This window comes from Homo sapiens, chromosome 1 (assembly GCF_000001405.40).
Source record: "Homo sapiens chromosome 1, GRCh38.p14 Primary Assembly".
NCBI lineage: Eukaryota > Metazoa > Chordata > Mammalia > Primates > Hominidae > Homo > Homo sapiens.
Genome location: NC_000001.11, coordinates 66,924,982 through 66,944,665, shown reverse-complemented (window position 1 = coordinate 66,944,665; position 19,684 = coordinate 66,924,982). Strand labels below are relative to the sequence as shown.

Below are 19,684 nucleotides of genomic sequence, written 5' to 3'. Positions count from 1 at the left end.
ACGCCAAAGACTGAGTAGAAGAGCAAAATTTATTAAAACTGCATAGAGAACTCCTATCAAAGGCATTAAAAATAATCTAGTCTAATAAACATGTCTAACTGACATGTGGTTGGGGAATATTGCTGGACCCTATAGGGTCAAGCTTTGTAATAGTAGAATGCAAAGGCTGGGCATACATAGTCTGTAAAATATTGTCTGTAAAATATTGTACTACATTGGCAGTAGTAAAACTTGGGGATATTTTACAGACTATGTAAAATATCCCCAAGTTTTACTACTGCCAATGTGGACCTAGATTTGCAAAAGCATTGTTTACTGATAAACAAATGAGTTACTGAACATTGAAAAAATTAACAATTTTTAAAGTTTTAACTGTTGATGGTTAGACATTAATAGATGTACCTATTCTTTCATTTCACTCCAGAAAGATAAACAATAAGTAAAGCAAAGAGATAGAGCTGACTTCTTGAAAATCCGACTATTATGAATAAGGGAATGCCCAAAGCTTAGGGTTCTTCAGTTACTCACAATAATTTTCAAAAGAATCATTTTTTTGAGTGCTTACCATATGCCAGATACTATGTTCAAGCATGTCATATACATTATCTCAATTAATCTTCAAATAATCCTACGAAGTAGGTATTATCATCCCATTTAAAGAGGAAAAAAAAAAAATAAAAACTCAAGGCTTAGAGATTTCAAGTAGCAAGTCTAAACTTACAAAGCCAGTAGATGGCAAAGACGGAATTTGAATCCTGGGTATACTAATCCTAACACCTATGCTTTTACTGGACTCCAAGCCTCCTGTAAATTATTTTAGTATACTGCCTCAAAGAATACTTAAGGAGAGTCTATGTACTAAGACGAGTGAATGCAAGCCAGGTCACATGGCAAAGCACTTAACATCATTGTGCCCTTTCAGAAGCACCAGAAAATATTGGTATTAGGCCAGGCGCAGTGGCTCATGTCTGTAATCCCAGCACTTTAGGAGGCCAAGGCAGGAGGACTGCTTGAGCTCAGGGGTTCAGGACAAGCCTGGGCAACACAGTGAGACCTCATCTCAAAAAAGAAAGGAAGAAAAGAGGAAAGGAGGAAAGGAAACGAAAGGAAACAAAACTAAACGAAAGGAAAGGAAAAGATAGTAAGGAAAGGAAAGGAACTGATATTAAATAGAAAATAACTAAAAACATAATTACATGCCAAATCAGATACCTTATACCAGATTATAGTAAAAATGAGTTATTAACACTTATCAAAGTTTTAGAATAATTTAAATAAAAACATTTAGAAAAGCATATTATCTTAATTTTCTTCCAGAAATTAAGAAAAGCTTAGTACAATTTTAGCAGTGCATCTTAGTACTGCTTGAGGCAATGGACACAAGGGTTCCATAGGAGCACAATTTGAGAAACATTAATATAGGTGTAGTTTTCTGTCCCAATCCTTTTCTCTTCTGAGTTTTCAAGAGAAAACTCTCCTCAAACTTTTTAGTTCACCCAGCAATCTTCTGGGATACTGAGTAGTCAGTCAGTAATCATGTATCCCTACAAATAATGCTATACTTTTCTCCCTTGTAGGCAGAAAGACCCTAAAAAATCCCCACACCATCCCTTTGTATACTATTATCCAATCAGAATATAATTGTAATTAGACACAGGTATTATCAAAAATAATTATGCTTAATTCTTTGTTATACTTGTTACACTCTATTGACTTTTAAAAAAATTCAAGTTCATAGGTATATAGCATCAAAGCATGTGTTGTAACTCACCTGAAGTCCATTTTTTGTTATTTGCAAAGCCAATTATATATGAAGACTTGCCATTTCACTCCCTTATTACATCAAACAACAAAGTGTAGGTGAACTACTTCCTGTCTCACTCCAATTTCTTTCCCTACATGCACACTACGCTTTTTTCTATAAACTTTCAATTTTCAGTTTTTCTCTTTCCTTAATCTGACCTGTTCTATCTGACTTCTTTTTGCCTTGTTCCTTAGAACAAACTAACCATCTTATTCTTGTCAATAGCTAGACCCACCATTAGGCTGTCTCCTAGGAAAAAAAAAAAATTCCCAATAATAAATCATTAGAGGTAATGGCTCTGGTGCTTTGTATAAATTAAGTATTTTGCATCAGAGTTAGGCAAATGTGACTGCTTTGTCATGAAATCCTATCCTACTGCAGAAAAGGTACCTTACATCTTTTCAAAGGTAAATTCAGTTTGTATCATGTCTACTCATTTAATCACTTTTTAAATTATCTTCACCTCCATTAATTCCCCACCTCTAATGGCTACTAGTCTTACAGGTAAAAAGCCTTACATTGTGCCTCTACTTTGTCTTACACTGGTGGAGACTACAGACAAAGCAATTAATGTGGTCATGTGACTATTATTACTAGCATTGATTGCAAAGTACAGATGCTACAAAGGATATAGCCTTTTCATCAGGGGACTGAAAAATTTTTTACATGAGTATTTCTAATTTTCTCTACTAACTTTTATAACTGGCTGTAATTAACATTATTTATAAGAACAATAAACACTGCCCTGGGCAGAAGCCTCAAATGACAAATACTGTCTAACTCAAAAGATCTATTTCAGTCTGAAAACAAGCTGAAGAAATATAAACATTCTATCTGTTAAGTATTCAACAAGTAGCAAAGCTATCAAAGACTGTTTTTTTTTTTTTTTTTGAGAGAAGGAGTCTCGCTCTATAGCTCAGGCTGGAGTGCAGTGGCATGATCTCAGCTCACTGCAACCTTCACCTCCCAGGTTAAAGGATTCTCCCACCTCAGCCTTCCGAGTAGCTGGGATTACAAGCATGTGCCACCATCCTGGCTAATTTTCGTATTTTTAGAAGAGACGAGATTTCACCATGTTGGCCAGGCTAGTCTCAAACTCCTGACCTCAAGTGATCCATCCGTCTTGGCCTCCCAAAGTGTTGGGATTACAGGCATGAGCCACTGCACCTGGCCAACATTTGTATTCTTCAAACTCCATTATTCTTCCAGTTCAGCCTAGGCTGATTCAAATGTAATGGAAACTGAGAAAGCCACTTACTAATATCGCTTTCTGAGTAATTATTTTATGTATCTATGTACTATCAGATGAATGCCTCAAAAATTCATCAGAAATATCTAAATCTCCTCAGTTTTATTTGCAATATCACAATACTATAAGAAACAAGTAGGATCTATTTTTTCTATGAAAACAATTTCTGCGTTTGAAAAAAAAAATCGGAAATAATTCCATGTCCTAAAAATGAATATGGTGATCTAACACTTATCTAAGACCAGATTACTCCCAATCTTAACCATCCAGGATATACTTATAAAACAAAGTTCAAAAAAAATTGAGTTTCAGAAATGCACAAAGCCTAATGTACTTTACTCTCAAGCATATTAAAAAGAGTAAGATGCTTTCAGCTGAAATCAAAAGGACAAAATCAACGTCAGCTGAGCACACTAGTCATTTAAAAGGGATGTAGATGTGATCTAGTCCAACCCTCAGAGTCCAGTGATTCATGTTCATAGAAAGGACCTTGCACCATGAAAACAGGCTTATCTTATGTTAAGCATTTTTAAAAGCTTTCTTTCTAAAACTTTAAACACAGAAAGGTGATTGCTTCAATAATCTGGAAAATTCAGTAATACAGAATACATCCTATCTAAGTATTCAATACATGTGAGATGTTTTCAAATAAAACATTACTATGCCTCAGAGGGTTCACTTTCTCACTCTTCTATATTGGACTACTCTTTAACCCACATATCCCATGCAGAAGGCAGTCCCATTTCTCTTGACAGTCACTGGACACTGAGGATAAAAGACTAGTACTTGACTCTTTCCTCACTGCTTCAACTCCAATGAATTACTGCCATGTAGAACTACTGTACCCAGTGGTGCCAGACCATGGGAACCCTAAATCCAGATTTCATATATAAAATATTCTTAAAGATCACTACAGTGGCCAAACAAAAATTTGTGGCACAGATCTGATTCAAAGATCACAGGTTTGCAATCTCTAAGTTAGGAAAAAATGAATATGTACTGTATTTGAGAAAGAATACAAAAATCCTAGATGTGTGCTCAGAACCTAAAACTTGATCCTATTCAAATCTAAGAATGATTTCCTTATTTAGAATATTCCTTATTTACATTAAATATTCACTTGTTGAATCGTTTGCTTACTTTATTTTTCCCCTCCCTCTGTAATGCACTAACAATTTTTTCTCAAATAAAAATACTTTGAAATCCCTACACAAGCAAATATTTCTAAGCTAATGATTCCTTTTTAAAAAGCACAATTTATATATATACTACAAGTCAAACAATAATACAAAACTGTGAGAAATACATATGGCAACTCACCAAAAAAAAAAAAAAAAAAAAAGAAAACCCAAAAATAGTCATTTTTAGGATGAAATCACAGTAGCCTCACCTGTACTTTCATGGGCAGTCAAACCTTTCATCCATTTCTTTTTCCCCAGAGAAAAGAAGCATTCAGAAGAAAAGCAAGTCAGATAATAGTCTAACTCCTCTAGTCTTTATGCAACTAGTAGGACAAATGTTACTCAAATCGAGATTATAAAAAATATGGAAAATACTTACCTGGACTTGAAGATTCAACAGATGGCTGAGAAGGGGAGAAAAGAGGAAAAATTAGTATTTCTGTATAATGTATCTTCACAAACATTACCGAAATTATTCAATGACTACTATGATGCCAAAAACTACAGTAAGTTTTAATGTCTGCATTTTAGTTTTAATGTCTGCATTTTCCAAGACAAACTAAAACTTCCCATATAATCCCTTCCCTTTCATTATATTTAAGCATAAAGAAAAATTCCAAACACTCCTGAATCCAGAAATAAAGACAATAGTATAGAATTCAGATTTTAAAGGTACATGTGGGCTTCATAACATATGTGGTTTAAGTAGTATGATTTTAGATCTTGGAATTTTCTGAAATAGATTTTCTCCTATCAACACAGAACTATGAACAAAGTTTGCTATCAAGCTGGTCTCCGACTTAAAAAAAGTGAGTGTAAGATGGGAGACAGAAACAATTTAGGACACTATCTCAAATAAAAATTAAGTTGTAACAAAGCAAAAGGAAAAATTAAAATTCTGTTTAAGCACCAAATACTATATTAGGTTAACTTTACAGATAAACAATATATTTTTAAGTTATAACAGAATTAGCAAGCATTCAAGCTAATGCCTAGAAAGTTTAGGTTATCTGATGCAAGACTGCACAGATTTCCAATTATAATGCTCCTTCCACTCCACCATTCTACCTGTCATAAATTTAACCACAAACAACTTGAAAATTTAAAGATAAAATTGGTAGCAATTTATTTTAGTAATGTTACTGCTTGACAATGCGCAGTTGTGTTTTATCTTAGTTCAGTTAATTCACAATTATAAACAAATAATCTACAAACATAAGACTCCCACAAAACAAATATTAAAAACTCAAAAGATGCTTCAAATAACATGAACTAAAACTTCACCAATTCATTCAGAAGTATCTATTTCATGCCCATTAGAAAATACAGATGGTGGGAGGCCAAAAGCACTAGCAAAGGAAAGATAGGGATCTTGCAGTATTTTCTTTCTGCTAAGTAATGGGGAAGAGAGGCAAGAAGAAAACAGAAAAGAGGGAAATTCTCTATTTTTCAAAAACAATGTGTCTAAGACAAATTCCTATAAAGTATTAAAATTTGTTTTTAAAACTGTACATATTATGTAATTGTAGTAAGTATGGGATTCTAGATTCCATATGGTGACTCATTCTTTTGTGGCACACTTTTTCAAAGGTCCTACTTTTTCTGTTAAATTCTTAGAATAATTCCTTCCTATAGCATTGTCTAGCAAAAATCTGACAATAACCAGTATTGCATATTTCCAATGGTACACCACTACCATTATTTTAAAGTTACTCTGCCAGAACACAGTCAATACAGTGCTACTTTTAAATCTCATTCCTCTAATGGGAAGCTTGGAGAGTAGGGTGACATGACAAGAGTAATGCAACCACAAAAAGGGTTTCTAGCTTGCTTAACATCTTTTGGGCAGAGCTACACATTTCTGGTTCAAAATGGAGTTAACCACCACACAAATTATTACATAGTAAATCAATATTTTAAAATATTAATCCACTTGTGTTTCACGCAGTTATACTTCCCAACTGTAGGCACAATCTTCTCTGTAAGGCTACAAGCAATGTTAATGATCATCTTCATCTAATCCTAGCTCACTATCCACACAAAATAAGACTTATGAACACTGGAATAATTATTCCATTTAACAGTTCTCTGATTTAAAAAAAGGCTTTCTAATTACAAGTTACTGAAGAATAAAAGTTACATTTTTATTGATGTTAGATATTAACAATAGAGATTTTGAATTGTAAATGGTGTCCATATATTTCAGTTTGTAAAAGGCCTCAGGAGCACTGAATGCCAATAAATATCTTACTGATTGTTGCTTCATTGGTAAATAGTTAAAGTTCTGAAAAAGGCTGCAAACACTTCCCAATGATTAAGATACCAAACGCTTGAGGACTAGTAGCATTTGTAAGCATAGCTGATACAGAGTAGAACACCCAGTGTTCAAAGGTAACATTAGTGATTATGTCAGACATACTAGAATGTTTCAATGACTGATTTAAAGGCATATCTAGATTAGCACAAGTGGAGAACTAGGAGTGGTCTGCCTACAGATACATTTAGTATCCATACATATTTTAGTATTTTACTTCCAAAATAAAATTCTGTTCTATATGTTTGGGGGTAGGATTGAGATTAGATTCTTTAAAGTTAAATACATCCCATTAAATCAAAGATGAGTTTCTAAAAAATTGGTATTTGAAAACATTTCATACTGTAAAACATTACTTTGTATAGCTAATTATCAAAAATGATGATCTTTCAAAATAACAAGTGAGTTTAGCATCTTAATATAGGAAGTTTGGGTGTGGAATAAGGGTAATTTTTATTTAGATATGAAATAAAATAGTACATCCAGCTTACATTCATATAGTGCTACACATTTTCTTTTCTTTTCTTTTTTTTGAGATGGAGTCTTGCTGTGTCACCCAGGCAGAAGTGCAGTGGCATGATCTTGGCTCACTGCAGCCTCCATCTCTCAGATTCAATCGATTCTCCTGCCTCAGCCTACCAAGTAGCTGGGATTACAAGCGTGCGCCACCATGGCTCGCTAACTTTTGTGTTTTTAATAGAGACGGTTTCACCATGCTGGCCAGGCTGGTCTCGAACTCCTGACCTCAAGTGATCTCCCTGCTTTGGCCTCCCAAAAGTGCCGGGATTACAGGCATGAGCCACCATGCCCAACCCAGTGCTACACATTTTCAAAAGCATCTAGTTAGCTGATCATAATCATAAATATAGGAATAATACCTGCCCTGCCCACCTCTTTTATAAATTAGTAAACCCAAGGAGACACACTGACTAGATCAAGGTTCCATGGTAGGTGGTGAAGGCAGGCCTGAAGTCTAGACCCTGACTCTTCCTTCTATACCTTTTATAGTGTCCTTTTGTACCTTCTAGAGAAATAACTGCTAAAATTTTCCACTCTTCACTTCTCTCCTCCTTCACCCTCACTTTTTTCTTTTTCTCTTTTTTTTTTTTTTTTTTTTTTGAGATGGAGTCTCGCTCTGTCACCCAGGCTGGAGTGTAGTGGCACAATCTCAGCTCACTGCAATCTCGGCCTTCTGGGTTCAAGCAATTCCCCTGCCTCAGCCTCCCGAGTAGCTGGGACTACAGGTGCACACCACCACGTCTGGCTAATTTTTTGTATTTTAGTAGAGATGGGTTTCACACATGTTGGCCAGGATGGTCTCGATCTCCTGACCTCGTGATCCGTCCGCCTCAGCCTCCCAAAGTGCTGGGATTACAGATGTGAGCCACCGCACCCGGCCTCTCTTTTTTGAAATGATTTTCATCAGTTCAAAGTATGTTTAAAATGTGACTGCAAGTAGTCATCTGTCATGTCAGACTTATCAGTCTTCAGAAACTGTTATCTTAACAATACCTTCCTGGAGAACCCACAACATCTACCATTAATTACTACCATAAACTAGAAAGGAGAGAGAAAAACAAAACTAAGGTGGGCACGGTGGCTCACGCCTGTAATCCTAGCACTTTGGGAGGCCGAGGCAGGCAGATCACCCTAGGTCAGGGGTTCGAGACCAGCCTGGCCAACATGGCAAAACGCTGTCTCTACTAAAATACAAAAACTTTTTTTTTTTTTAATAAAAAATTTGGTGGCGGGCGCCTGTAATCCCAGCTACTTGGGAGGCTGAAGCAGAAATGCTTGAACCCAGGAGGCGGAGGTTGCAGTGAGCCCAGAAAGCGCCACCGCACTCCAGCCTGGGCAACAGAGACTCCGTCTCAAAAAAAACAAAAACAAAACAAAACTAAACTAAAGCTAAGTAAGTGCTTATTTATAACAATACCTATTTTTAGAAAAAATACCTTTTTTAGGAAAGATGATTTAAAATTGGGCATTAAAATATATTTAACATGTACTCATAACCTTATCAGTAGAAAAAAGTTATGTCAACCACACTGGAGATCATTTTGCTAACCTGAACTTATCCTACTGATATATTTTAAAAAAGACACCAAGACATATATATATAAAACATTCACTACCACAAAGTTGTTCATAACAAAAAGGTAGAAAAACATTTAAAGTCCATGCATTAGCTGATTAGAAATGATACATAGTTCTTCCATACATAGTTCTTCCAAACAATAGAACACTATGACTCCATTAAAAATAGAGATATCTGTTTGTGTTGATAGAGAAATAAATGCCAAAAAAAATTAGGAGTATAAAGAAAACTGTAGAACAGGGCGTAAACTGGGCTGGAATATGAAATAATATGGAATAAATTTTTTTTCCTCAAAAGGACATACAAGAACCTGTTAACAATAGTTACCTCTAGGGAATGGGGTCAGGGAGAAGAGGCTTTTTTCATTTAATACCTTTCTGTACTGTTGAAATTTTCTAACCACTTTCATGTACTATGCATTCTTTCTTAAAATGAAAGTCACTGGGAACTGATTATCTTGTGGAATTATGAGACATTTTCATTTTCTTCCTCTAAATTTTGATTTTTAAGAAAACCTAGTACTTGTTACTATTTTTTAAGCTGTAATTTTGAAAAATTCAGTGTTTTAGGGGGTACATATTTATCTTATCTGAGATGGAAAACAACACTAGAGAGACAGAAAGACTGTACACAGAGTATGAATGGGCTAAAACAAATTAAAAACAAACTCTAGCAACTTTTATAGCAAGTTGACCCTCACCCACATATTTGTATGATTTAGTTGATAAAATTGCTAATAGTTGTAACGAATATTCAATGCCTCAGATTTGCTGAAATAATTCTCTTTTATATTTTTCTAGAACATGGTGGGAAATGTCCCATACAACAGAAGACTATAATTTGAGAGAGAGTAAAGAAATAACTAACTACAACATTACCATTATTTTCACCAAAAAAACCCTAACAACAACATAGTAAAAACATGAAGTAATTACTAGATTTTTTTATTCCAGGCAATCAAAAGCTTATTTGCAATGAGTATTACCGTCTGAACAAATTTTTCCCCTCAAAACAATTCTACCACCATTTCTTTTAAGTATTGCCGTCATCTACTTAGTTATGTAGACTCTAAGTCAGAGATTCTCACAGCAATGGAGATGGGGATAGAAGCCTGGAAAGAGGGGTCCTACTTTAGGGTGAAAGATGGTTACCGTGCCAAGGGCTGGCTCACCATCCCTCTCCTCCAATAAAATTAAGTTACTTAACTTTGTTATTACTCTCAGGAATTCTGGGGTATAAAAAGGTTAAGAATGTACTGAAATTAAAATTAGCAATTTACTACAGTATTAATAATTCAGAAGTAAAATGATATCATAGAAAATAAGGACTGGGAACAGTGGCACACGCCTATAATCCCAGCACAAGACAGGAGGATCACTTAAGGCCAGAAGCTCGAGACCAGTCTGATCAACATATCGAGACCCTGTCTCCACAAAAAAAAAAAAAAGCCGGGCATGATGGCACATGCCTATAGTCCCAGCTACTTGAGAGGCTCTGAGGGAAGGATTGATCACCTGAGCCCAGGAGTTTGAGGTTGTAGTGAGCTATGATTTGCGCCACTGCACTCCAGCCTGGGCAACAGAGAGAGACCCTGTCTCAAAAAAAAAAAAAAAAGAAAGAAAGAAAAAGAAAATAAGCACTAGGAATCTAGGAATACAGAAGGCTGGGTTCCAGTCTAAACTGTGCCATAGATGAATTGCACGACCTAGGACAAACTACGTAAACTCTCTGCTCACTTTCATTTTCTCTATGATCAAAAGATTTAGATTTCTTCAAGACCTAACTTTACTTTTATTATAAATTGCTCTAGAAACCTAACACTACTAAGGAGTATGCAGCTAAATGCATGGGATATGTTTAAATTTATTTTTTTAAATCTAGGACTGTTAAAAAAATCTCAATTTGCAAAAACAATTTTTTGGGGTGCTACTTCATGAATTTCATACCTACATAATAAGTTATTGTTCTAAGCCACAGAATAAGACAAACAGAACAAGCCCCAAGCAATGACTGGTACTTGAACAATTTAATCACTGCAATGAATTTTGAATGAACATCAAGCCAGGCAGGCATTTCTAGATAGCTGATTACTTTTCATAAAGACATGCTTAAGCTTCAATGGCAGTGTTTTATTTCTGAATTATTTAGAAAACTGGTTAGTCTCACTTACCAGAATTATCTTAAAGTAATTCACTTGTTTCTCCCACCAAACCTTTCCCACCTATTAAAGTACCCTAACTCTTAACTGCCAATGAATTAAGATTTTTAGGACTCTCACGCACTGGTGATCTTGACTACTTTTAAAATCTTAATAGCTCTGAAGTATAAACATGAAAAAAAATTCATTATTAGTGTCGAGAATTATTTGAAGCTTAAATTCACTGCAGTGAAACACATTTTGCTTAGAGTAGAAATTAATGTTTTCATAAGTAACATTTAACATAATCCTTCGTTAAAAAAATCCAAATACACTCAAAAAATACTAAGCAAGGAGTCCATTTTAAAGAGAAATGGATAGGTGTGAAAGTGAATAAACAGATTATATACCCTCTTTGAAAGTACTAAAATACTTAAATAGAAAGAAGCAAATCCATTAATTTTCTCTTTATATCACAGAAATGTGGCCTAGGTGAAAAGACAGGTCTTGAATTGTCCATGGATTTTTTTCCTTGAGAAGAAAGTCCCTTACGTGTTTACAAACGCTAAAATACAAGACAAATTGTTCGTTCCCAAAGGTCCCTAGTACATTCCTTATAAAACCCAAAGGATTAACTATTTCTTCCTCTCATTTTTTCTCTCATTTTCCTCTTATTTTTGCAGTTAGTAAAACTGCAACTATCCTGTAATTTCCTTCAAGTGTGACTAGGAGAGCGTCCTTTTAGAAGGTTGGTAAATAATTTTAAGGGATAATAAGCAATGAGAAATATTGCCAAAAAGTATTAAGCAAGGGAGCATATGCTATTTATTCTAAGTACATTAAATACGGCTTTAATGTTATCACAACTGAAGAACCAATATATACTTCCTATTATGGACTAAGATAATCAGATCAAATATAAAAAATTAGTATATCCTATTCTCATCTAAAGCACTTTCTATTCAAGAATTAAATATTTTTCTGGAAAAACATGGTCAGGGTCATGCTCTTGTAGGAAGCATCAATTTTTTTTTTTAAAAGCCCAGAAGCATAATACCTACATTTTTCTCTGGAGACATACTTCTTCAATAACCTGTTTTCCCCCTCAGATTTAACAAATAGATATATACTGTTGCTTTGCACTTACTGTTACTTCACAAGCTATCCTTAAATCCTCAGATTTATTTGATCAAAAGCACAATAATTCAGCATCTGGATTATTTAATCACATGCTTTTATATTGGCTTCATAAAGAATGAATCTACTGAGAGCTCAAAGTAAAAGCCAACCAAGCATTTCTCCTTTGTCTAATTGTTTAAAACCACTGGTCTCAAAAATCGTCATAATTATTCAAGTATTGAGGCCAGGAAAACTATAAATCAATTGTACTTTTCACTTCTTCACCTGTCTTAGATTTTTTTGTAGGACACAGATCACGAAAGTTCCTCTAACTCTTCCCCAATTCACTATACATGAAACTATCTACAAGTAACTGAAGAATATAGAAGATAAATTGTTTAAAGATACCAGGTCATTAAATAAACACTAAAAACCAAATAAAAACAAAATTCCAGTTCTTTCCTTCTTGCAGTTGAACAATCCATGCGTTCCCACAAAACATTCCATTCTCCAACTGATAAAATATTTAAGAAAACTAAAACATACATTAGAAAATATTAGGAAATGATTAGTGAATCAAAATATTTTTTTCCTTTATCTTACAATAACGCAACCATCTTTAATTTTTAAAACAAAAAAGTTAACATAATTTCTTTTACATATTAGATTTTTTAGTTCCCTCGGCAATAAAATTTATTTTTTAAAAACACAGAAATTTTAAATTTAAGTTTTTTAACTTAAATTTCTCTGTATAAGCTATTTTCCTTCAGTAATATCTTGCCTTAGTATATGACTACACACCTCAAAGCTCAAACCATCCTGAGCAACACCATGAAAGAAGAAACCACATTACCTATGTAGCACATTGCTGCTTACCCGATATTCACTGAAAGGGGTCCACTGAAGACACTAACTGACAAAATGTATAAATCCAGCTACACACAACTCCTTAAACATGAAGGAAACAAACACTTAAGAATAAGAACCTCACCAGGACTAAAATCCAGGTACCGATTCTCAGTCTACTGGAACAAACGCAGTCACATTTTGGGGAAACAGAAAGTACTACGTTCTCCAATTCATGTGCCTGGAAATACAATTCTTTAACCACCAAGAGCAAAAGAAATGAAAATAAATCTAAGATCTAAATTTAGTTGTAAATTAGAGATATTGAATGTTTTAAAAAGAATACTCGCAGCAAACAGTCCTGTCTGCTACAGCAAAATCTCACCCTCCTTCCTAAATCTGTTTTGGGGTGCCTGTGAAACCATGAAAATGGCAATTCAAACAAGAGAAATGCCTTATCAATCAAAATTTACAGTGGCTTATTTCAAAGGAGTCATAAAAAAAATCCAAATACATCATCTCGAACTCTCAGGAATAAAGAATACTGAAATTCTTCCACGGGTAAGGAAAAACGGAAACAAAACAAATCCCACAAAACTTCAGATATTTTAAACATTTTTTAAACTTCCAGTTATTTAAAGTTCCAGTAGCGTATACTTAGTTCCGATTAATAAATCAACAGCAGTTGTATGCCCGCCAACTGCGGCCCAAATATGTAAAATCAAAAAAAGGGGCTTTAGGAACTTGTTTACTATAAAACGAGCAAAAAGAAACAAGAAAAAGCTTCTCCAATGAAAGAAAAATTAGAAGAGAAAGAAGACAAGAATAGGTAGCCTTGATTTGGAAAGGGGGTGGGGGGAAGCCTGGAAAGTGAAGGTGGTGGGGGGAGGTGGAAAAGCAGCTCAGAGGTTGTACCTTGGGGAGCGGGAGATGGAACTGTCTGGATAAATGGGCAGACTCCCCCCAACCTGGAGGGCTGGATTGCGGCTGGCCAGATTAATTTATCCACTCTCATTTTACCACGATCATGAAAATTACAGAGTTAATCAAAGGCCGTCAGCCTTACGTTTTCCCCACTAACACAGACTGGATGTCAGTCGCAAATGGATGGGGGTGACGCGGAAGGGCGCAACAGCATCTCGGTTAGGAAGGGAAAAAACTTCGCAAGAGGAAGCAGCAGCTTCTCTCCTGGCCCCTAGCACCGGCCGGCGAAGTTGCGCCACAGGCACCCCTTCCCCGGCGGGCGCCCCCTCCCCCTCGCACCGCACTACTACGCTGCACTACCCTTCAAACTGCCCCCGAAGTCCAAGTACGCCTCCGCTTCCTCCTACCCCCGGACCCATCCCAACTAAGTTCCAGGCGAAGCTCCCGCCCAGAGAATGGCCTGTTCCGGACAACAGGTGGGCAGCGGCGCCAGCAGGGCCGGGCCTCTCCTGGCCAGGCCCACTCCACTCCTCCCCGGCCCAGGGCCGGGGGCGCCCGGCTCCGGGACAGGGAGGGGGAGCTCGCTCCCTTACCTCCGCCATATTTGCCGTACTGCCGGGTCACATCTCCGCGGCGGCCGCAGCTGGGTCACGGCCAGAACCCGGATGTGAGACTCAGCAACGGGACTCCGGCCGCTGCCGTCTCTGCCGCTCCCGCCGCCACTGCCTCGGCGGGAACGCGCAGGAGCCGCCCGAGCGCGCCCACCACACCCCACTCCGCCCCCTCGCGGCGCCCCGGCTGGGCTGGACTGGAGGGAAAAGACCAGCGAGCACGCGCCGGAGCAGGGGCGCGCGCGCGGCCCCGCGGCCAGCCCTCCCCGGGAAGAGCGGAGGGGGCGGAGTCAAGGTGGGTGTGGGAGGAGGTGGGCAACCGCGCGGGGCGCTTCGCTGGCTCCAGCTGATCCGCCACTCCAGGCGGAGGGGGTTGTCTACGGATCAGAGAGGTCAAGGAACAGTGCCAAAGGAGTCACATCCAGCATTGACACAGCAGAGGAAAAATACGTAATATTTTACATGTAGGTCGTTTTTGAAATGCATTTGCTGAAAAACGGATGTTGCTGTGATGCAACGGCGGCAAGAACTGTGCTTTGAAAGCGGTTATGCCTTGACAAATATTTCTCCATCAGTAGATTCCCGACAGGAAATGTAAAATTCTATATCCCCAAATCTCTAGAGAGGTCAGAGCAAAAATTAATGGAAGGGGTTATGATAGGCAGTCCGCCATCCTCATGTCATTTGCGTTTTCTCACACACTTCTGTCATGCCGGTAGCAACACAGTTATGTACTGAATTTTGCACAACTAGACAAAATTTAAAATACTGAAAATTGACTGTTTTATGGATATCATCTATTTAGTAGCATGGAGGGAGAACCTACTTATTTGCAATGCCTGAAATGCCTGTAACTTGAAAGTTTATTTTAATGTATTGGCCTACAGCTGCCAATTGGCCGTGATGCCAATGCTGATGATGGCCAGAACCAATGATTTCAAAGTAACTAACATGTTTCACTTCCATTATACTAAGGCACATACTGAATAACACAAAGGTGACATTAAAACAGTCACTAACATATTTTACTAAACCAGTTTGAAAGTCTTTATTTCAAAAGACTGGGATTTTTTTCCTAATCTTCAAGGGTTCCTCTTAATGCAGTTTCAAAAGTGGCTACCAAAATCAACCATTTAAATACGAGAATTATTCATTCCTTCCAAATAATGTGAACCAATACTACATTGCATAAATGTGTACATATACAATTTTTCTTAAAGTTAATACTTAACTTATAATGCAATATAGGGGAGGCTATTAAATTATTTATATTCCCTTAAAATTCTAGACTCTATCAAGCATTTTCCTATTTCCAAAGATTCAATGTTAATTTGAAACTGTTATGTCCAATAATAATCTGTGCATGAATAAACTGCATTTACAGATATATGAAGTAGCTGCTAAGTGAAAGGACATTACCTGGTAATTTGACAGGAAAAGAGTCCACAGACAGTCTGTAAACCAATTAAACATAAACATCTGATGCACATTTTCTACTGAAAGAAAAGCAAGGGAAAGAAGAGAAAGGAAAACTTTAAGGTTCCCAAATCTACAAACAATTTTTACCATTAACTGTACTGTACAGTATTTTCATTTTATTTTTTAGAAAACTTATATAAAAGTGTTTTTCAGGATTCCTTGGGGGAATAAATATTTTAGCAGAGGTATATAGTTTCTAATAGTTACCCTGTTGAATTATGTCAATCCTCTGGACTTGAAATAAAAATGACTTTTTAAAAGTGTCAGTTCATATCCAAATAGTTTTCAATCAATACACTTAATGAAAAGAGCTGAAGGCAAAGAACAATGGATATACATGGACCTGAGGTGGGTACAGACACAATTAGGGGCCTAGAGGTACAAACTCAGGCTTTATACCATGGAGATGAAGGAGGGTTTTCCATTAACATATGAAAGCTAATTTATGAAATTTGGCTACCAAAGGAAAATTAAAAGTGTTACAATACAAGGTACAGAAATAACTTGCTTAAGTACACTGAATCTTTGATTCTTCAGTTAAACTACCAACAGAAATCCCAACTATGATAAAGAGCAGGGGATCATAGTCTATTAACCTACTGAATGAATCCTAAACTTGTCAGGAAAATGGAAGTCTGAAACATTTCTGAATGGGTATCTATCTTACTGTTAAATAACTCTTTAAGTTTATTAATATTGTGTATCAATATTACTAGTTTTAAATGGTATTATTATTATTGAGGGAAAAAAACTCTCTACATTTTTCCCCTTCCCCTTTTTATAAATGTGGATTCAGTGGGTTTTTTAGGTTCAGATATTATAAAAAAGAAACAGCTCTAATACTGCAATTCATAGGTAACACATTACCACTGAATTCAGTATCCTTCCACTATTATTTTATTTTAGTGATACACCTAACTGTAAAATTTTCAGGAGCCACCTTACGGAATGAAAAGTCTTTCTCAAAACGCTTACTTACCCTCTTCAGTATTAAATATATAAAAATTAACTATTCACTAGTTATAGAATTTTAGTGTTGGATGGGACCTTAGAGATCTTTTAGTCAATTCTCTACCCTGTCAAGATAGTAATCTCTCATCATGCTTCTACTACCAGGCTTTCTGCCTATGTTTAAACCCCTCCAGTGACTCACTATATCTCATAAAAAGGCTGCTCTTTTCAAAAAAAGTTCAAATGTTTAAAACATTCTTTCTTTTATTATGCCAGAATCTACCTCCTTGTTGTTTCCATCCATTACCCTTAGTTCTTCAGCACTTTGGATTAATTCAACAGATATCTTCTTTGTATCCAAATGCAAACAGTTAATATTTATACTTGGGTTAACAAAAAAAAATTTATTTTTAAAGCCTATTCATACTAGAAGAGTTGAAAATAGGACATGAGAGAGCTAAAGGCATAAGAAAATGCACCATTAATTGTGTCTGCTTAAAATTATTACACTTTGTTATTTATTAATGTGATATCCAAAACAGTAGTTCTGTTGGAATTGTGTATAAAATTTTTAAACTAAAAAAGTGTGCTGAATTCCAATTTTATGTGAGGTTTGTGATTAATGTCCCAAAACAAAAAACCACTATACAAAGCCTGAATAAATGCCTCTTCAGCTCCTATTCCCCACCTAAAAGCCTCCTTATTTTCAGGCAAAGTAACATTAATTTTTATGACATTAAGCTACTCAAAACTGCTATTATATTGATAAATCATTTGTAAGCAATTTACTGAATCTTCCATTCAAAAGTTATTGAACAATTCTATAGAGGCTATAAGGCGCACGCACACACAAACCCCTCAGTTATTATTATGCTTTTAACAAAAGCATTTAGGAGCACAATCTTACTTCAACCAGTACCTTAAACGAACCAATGAACAAACTTCTTTGGCAATTTACATATACCTAAGAAATATAACCTTTTATTCAGTACCAACACCTGATTCAAATACAAGTAACATATATATATATACTATATAAACCTATCTGTTATGCAATCCAAAAAGGTACCTCTCAAAATGCACCAAGAAAATACTGTACTTATAACAATTTAGACTCTGGGGTTAGCTGACTGAAATAGATTAATACAACACATCCAAAACTAAAAAATTCTATATCTAACAATTTTCAGCGTCCATGAGTCTCTTTTGAGATTAGTTTATAAACTATTTCCTGAAATTTTTATTTAAAAGCAACAGCCTACACCATGTCTTTATGATGTGGTGGTAAAATTTTATGGATAATTACTAATTTGGTTGAAAATACCTACATCTAAAAAACTTAGCCTATTACATTTGGAAGCCCCACATCTATAGTGACAATCAGCATCATCTTTCGTTAGTTTCATTTTTTGTTATTAATGCCACTCTAAAACACTTATATAGGCTTTTGGTTCTTCAAATAACAGTTTTGGATTTTCTTTTCATAATTTTTACAGTTTTATCCAGTGGCCCCATTTTATCAGAATATTACAAACTATGATTATGGTTTTTACATTGATGACATGTTATTTTTATCTCACCCAAATTCTGGAAATTTTTGGCCCATCAGTTCTCAAACACTGGAACATATAAGAAGAGTAATATAATCTTATATTACTTGAGGGAGTTTGGATTTTCCCTCCCTTAATCTCCAAGTGTACCCCTGCCTACCAGCATCACATCCGTCTTGTCTGCATTGAACCTCAACCAGTTGGTTCTTAACCACGTCCGAAACTCAGCCAGGCACTGGGAGAATCGAGCGACCACACCATCTGGATCAAAGGAAAGAGAGCCTCAGTAGCAAGGAGACAGAAACGATGATACAAGCTCACCATCCACCCTGTTTCGCATTTTTAAAAAGATGGTCGGGAATCAGGACAAGGATCCCATGACAATTTTAGAAAAACATTTAATGAGCCTTAAGTCATGCAATTTGTAACTAATGATAAAGGAATAAAAGCGACCCAATAAATAGGTCGCCTCATTCCACCCATAAGTGAAGAAGGTTCAGTCAACTCCGGGTCATCTTGGTGAAGCGGCCTCAATAGCCAAGTCAATCTTGTAATTACATAAGTTCTTCTGCAGAAATGCAGAATTCTAGCGTTGGAGGAAGCTTTAAATAGGGAAAACTGAAGCCCAGAGAGGGATAGTGACTCGCTCAAGGTTACACAGCATGCAGGGACCACAGATAGGCTCCAGGCCAGGGACCTAGCCACTACAAGCTGAAAGAACAAGAGTAAAGAGCGGCGGGCATCTGTCCCAAGGGATCCTCCCACGCGCTAGGAGGACCTCGTTTCCTTACAGTAATACCCTATTCGAGTCTCTCCTCCCTCCCTGACTCCATCCGAAAAGGGCAAGTTGGCCCAGGGCGCTGCTCACCATAAAGGCTGCAGTGCAAGCGAGAGCCTCCCGGGGATGGGACACAAGTGAGGGAAATACAGGAGAAAGAGGCGGAGCCACAGCAGGGTGGTCAGCTTAGCCCCACCCCGACTGGGATCAGGGACCGAAGCGAACGGGGCGAGGCGAACTCACTCCGCAGCGGATTCCCAGCGCGGCGCCACCACCGCGAAGGCAAAAAGGCGGCGCTGGGAGGCAGTCGATGGCCAGAGGGAGGAAGCTGCGCATGCGCCTTTGGCAGCCGGCGGAGAGCAAGCCAGGCGCGTTCTGCGGCAGCCCCTCCCCGGAAGTTAAGGGTCTTCCGGGCGGTACACTGCCGTGGGGGAGGGGAAGGAGAGAAAGGGGACTGAGGACACCTCAGGAGCCCCTCATCCCAAACTGGAATAGAAGGGGAGAGATGGCTTGTGGAGGCTGCACTTACAGCCGCTGCCGCTGCTGCCGCCGCCACCTTCGCTGCTGCCGCCACCGCCTGAAGAAGCCCCATCCATCCGCCTGCAGCCGGGAGACTCAGAGCCTGGGAGGGGCCTGAGGCCCG

At 37.2% G+C, this 19,684-nt stretch overlaps 1 protein-coding gene across 30 annotated transcripts in view, besides 2 other annotated features; it reads right to left on the bottom strand.

The window, feature by feature from the left end:
* The window catches only part of MIER1 (MIER1 transcriptional regulator), a 63,630-nt gene extending 43,954 nt beyond the window's left edge, over positions 1 to 19,676 (bottom strand). For 5 of the 30 annotated variants that reach the window (NM_020948.4, NM_001146111.2, NM_001077702.3 and 2 more), the window contains exons 1-4: positions 19,571 to 19,676; positions 18,424 to 18,524; positions 15,703 to 15,776; positions 4,614 to 4,638 (exon numbers count right to left, since the gene is read on the bottom strand). In NM_020948.4, the coding sequence (NP_065999.2) occupies positions 4,614 to 4,638; positions 15,703 to 15,762 (85 nt within the window). In that variant the 5' untranslated portion in view covers positions 15,763 to 15,776; positions 18,424 to 18,524; positions 19,571 to 19,676. Of the gene's footprint in view, positions 1 to 4,443; positions 4,481 to 4,613; positions 4,639 to 14,265; positions 14,411 to 15,702; positions 15,780 to 18,293; positions 18,333 to 18,423; positions 18,525 to 19,131; positions 19,334 to 19,570 lie in introns of those variants that run through there. The other 25 variants (NM_001077700.3, NM_001077703.3, NM_001146113.2 and 22 more) reach the window with 18 other exon arrangements.
* Positions 13,894 to 14,713: a silencer, noted in NCBI's record as "silent region_974". NCBI's record gives its function as "represses an Ori minimal core promoter by ATAC-STARR-seq in GM12878 lymphoblastoid cells {active_cell/tissue: GM12878}" and the evidence as "EXISTENCE:reporter gene assay evidence [ECO:0000049][PMID:35858748]".
* Positions 19,378 to 19,657: an enhancer, noted in NCBI's record as "active region_1168". NCBI's record gives its function as "activates an Ori minimal core promoter by ATAC-STARR-seq in GM12878 lymphoblastoid cells {active_cell/tissue: GM12878}" and the evidence as "EXISTENCE:reporter gene assay evidence [ECO:0000049][PMID:35858748]".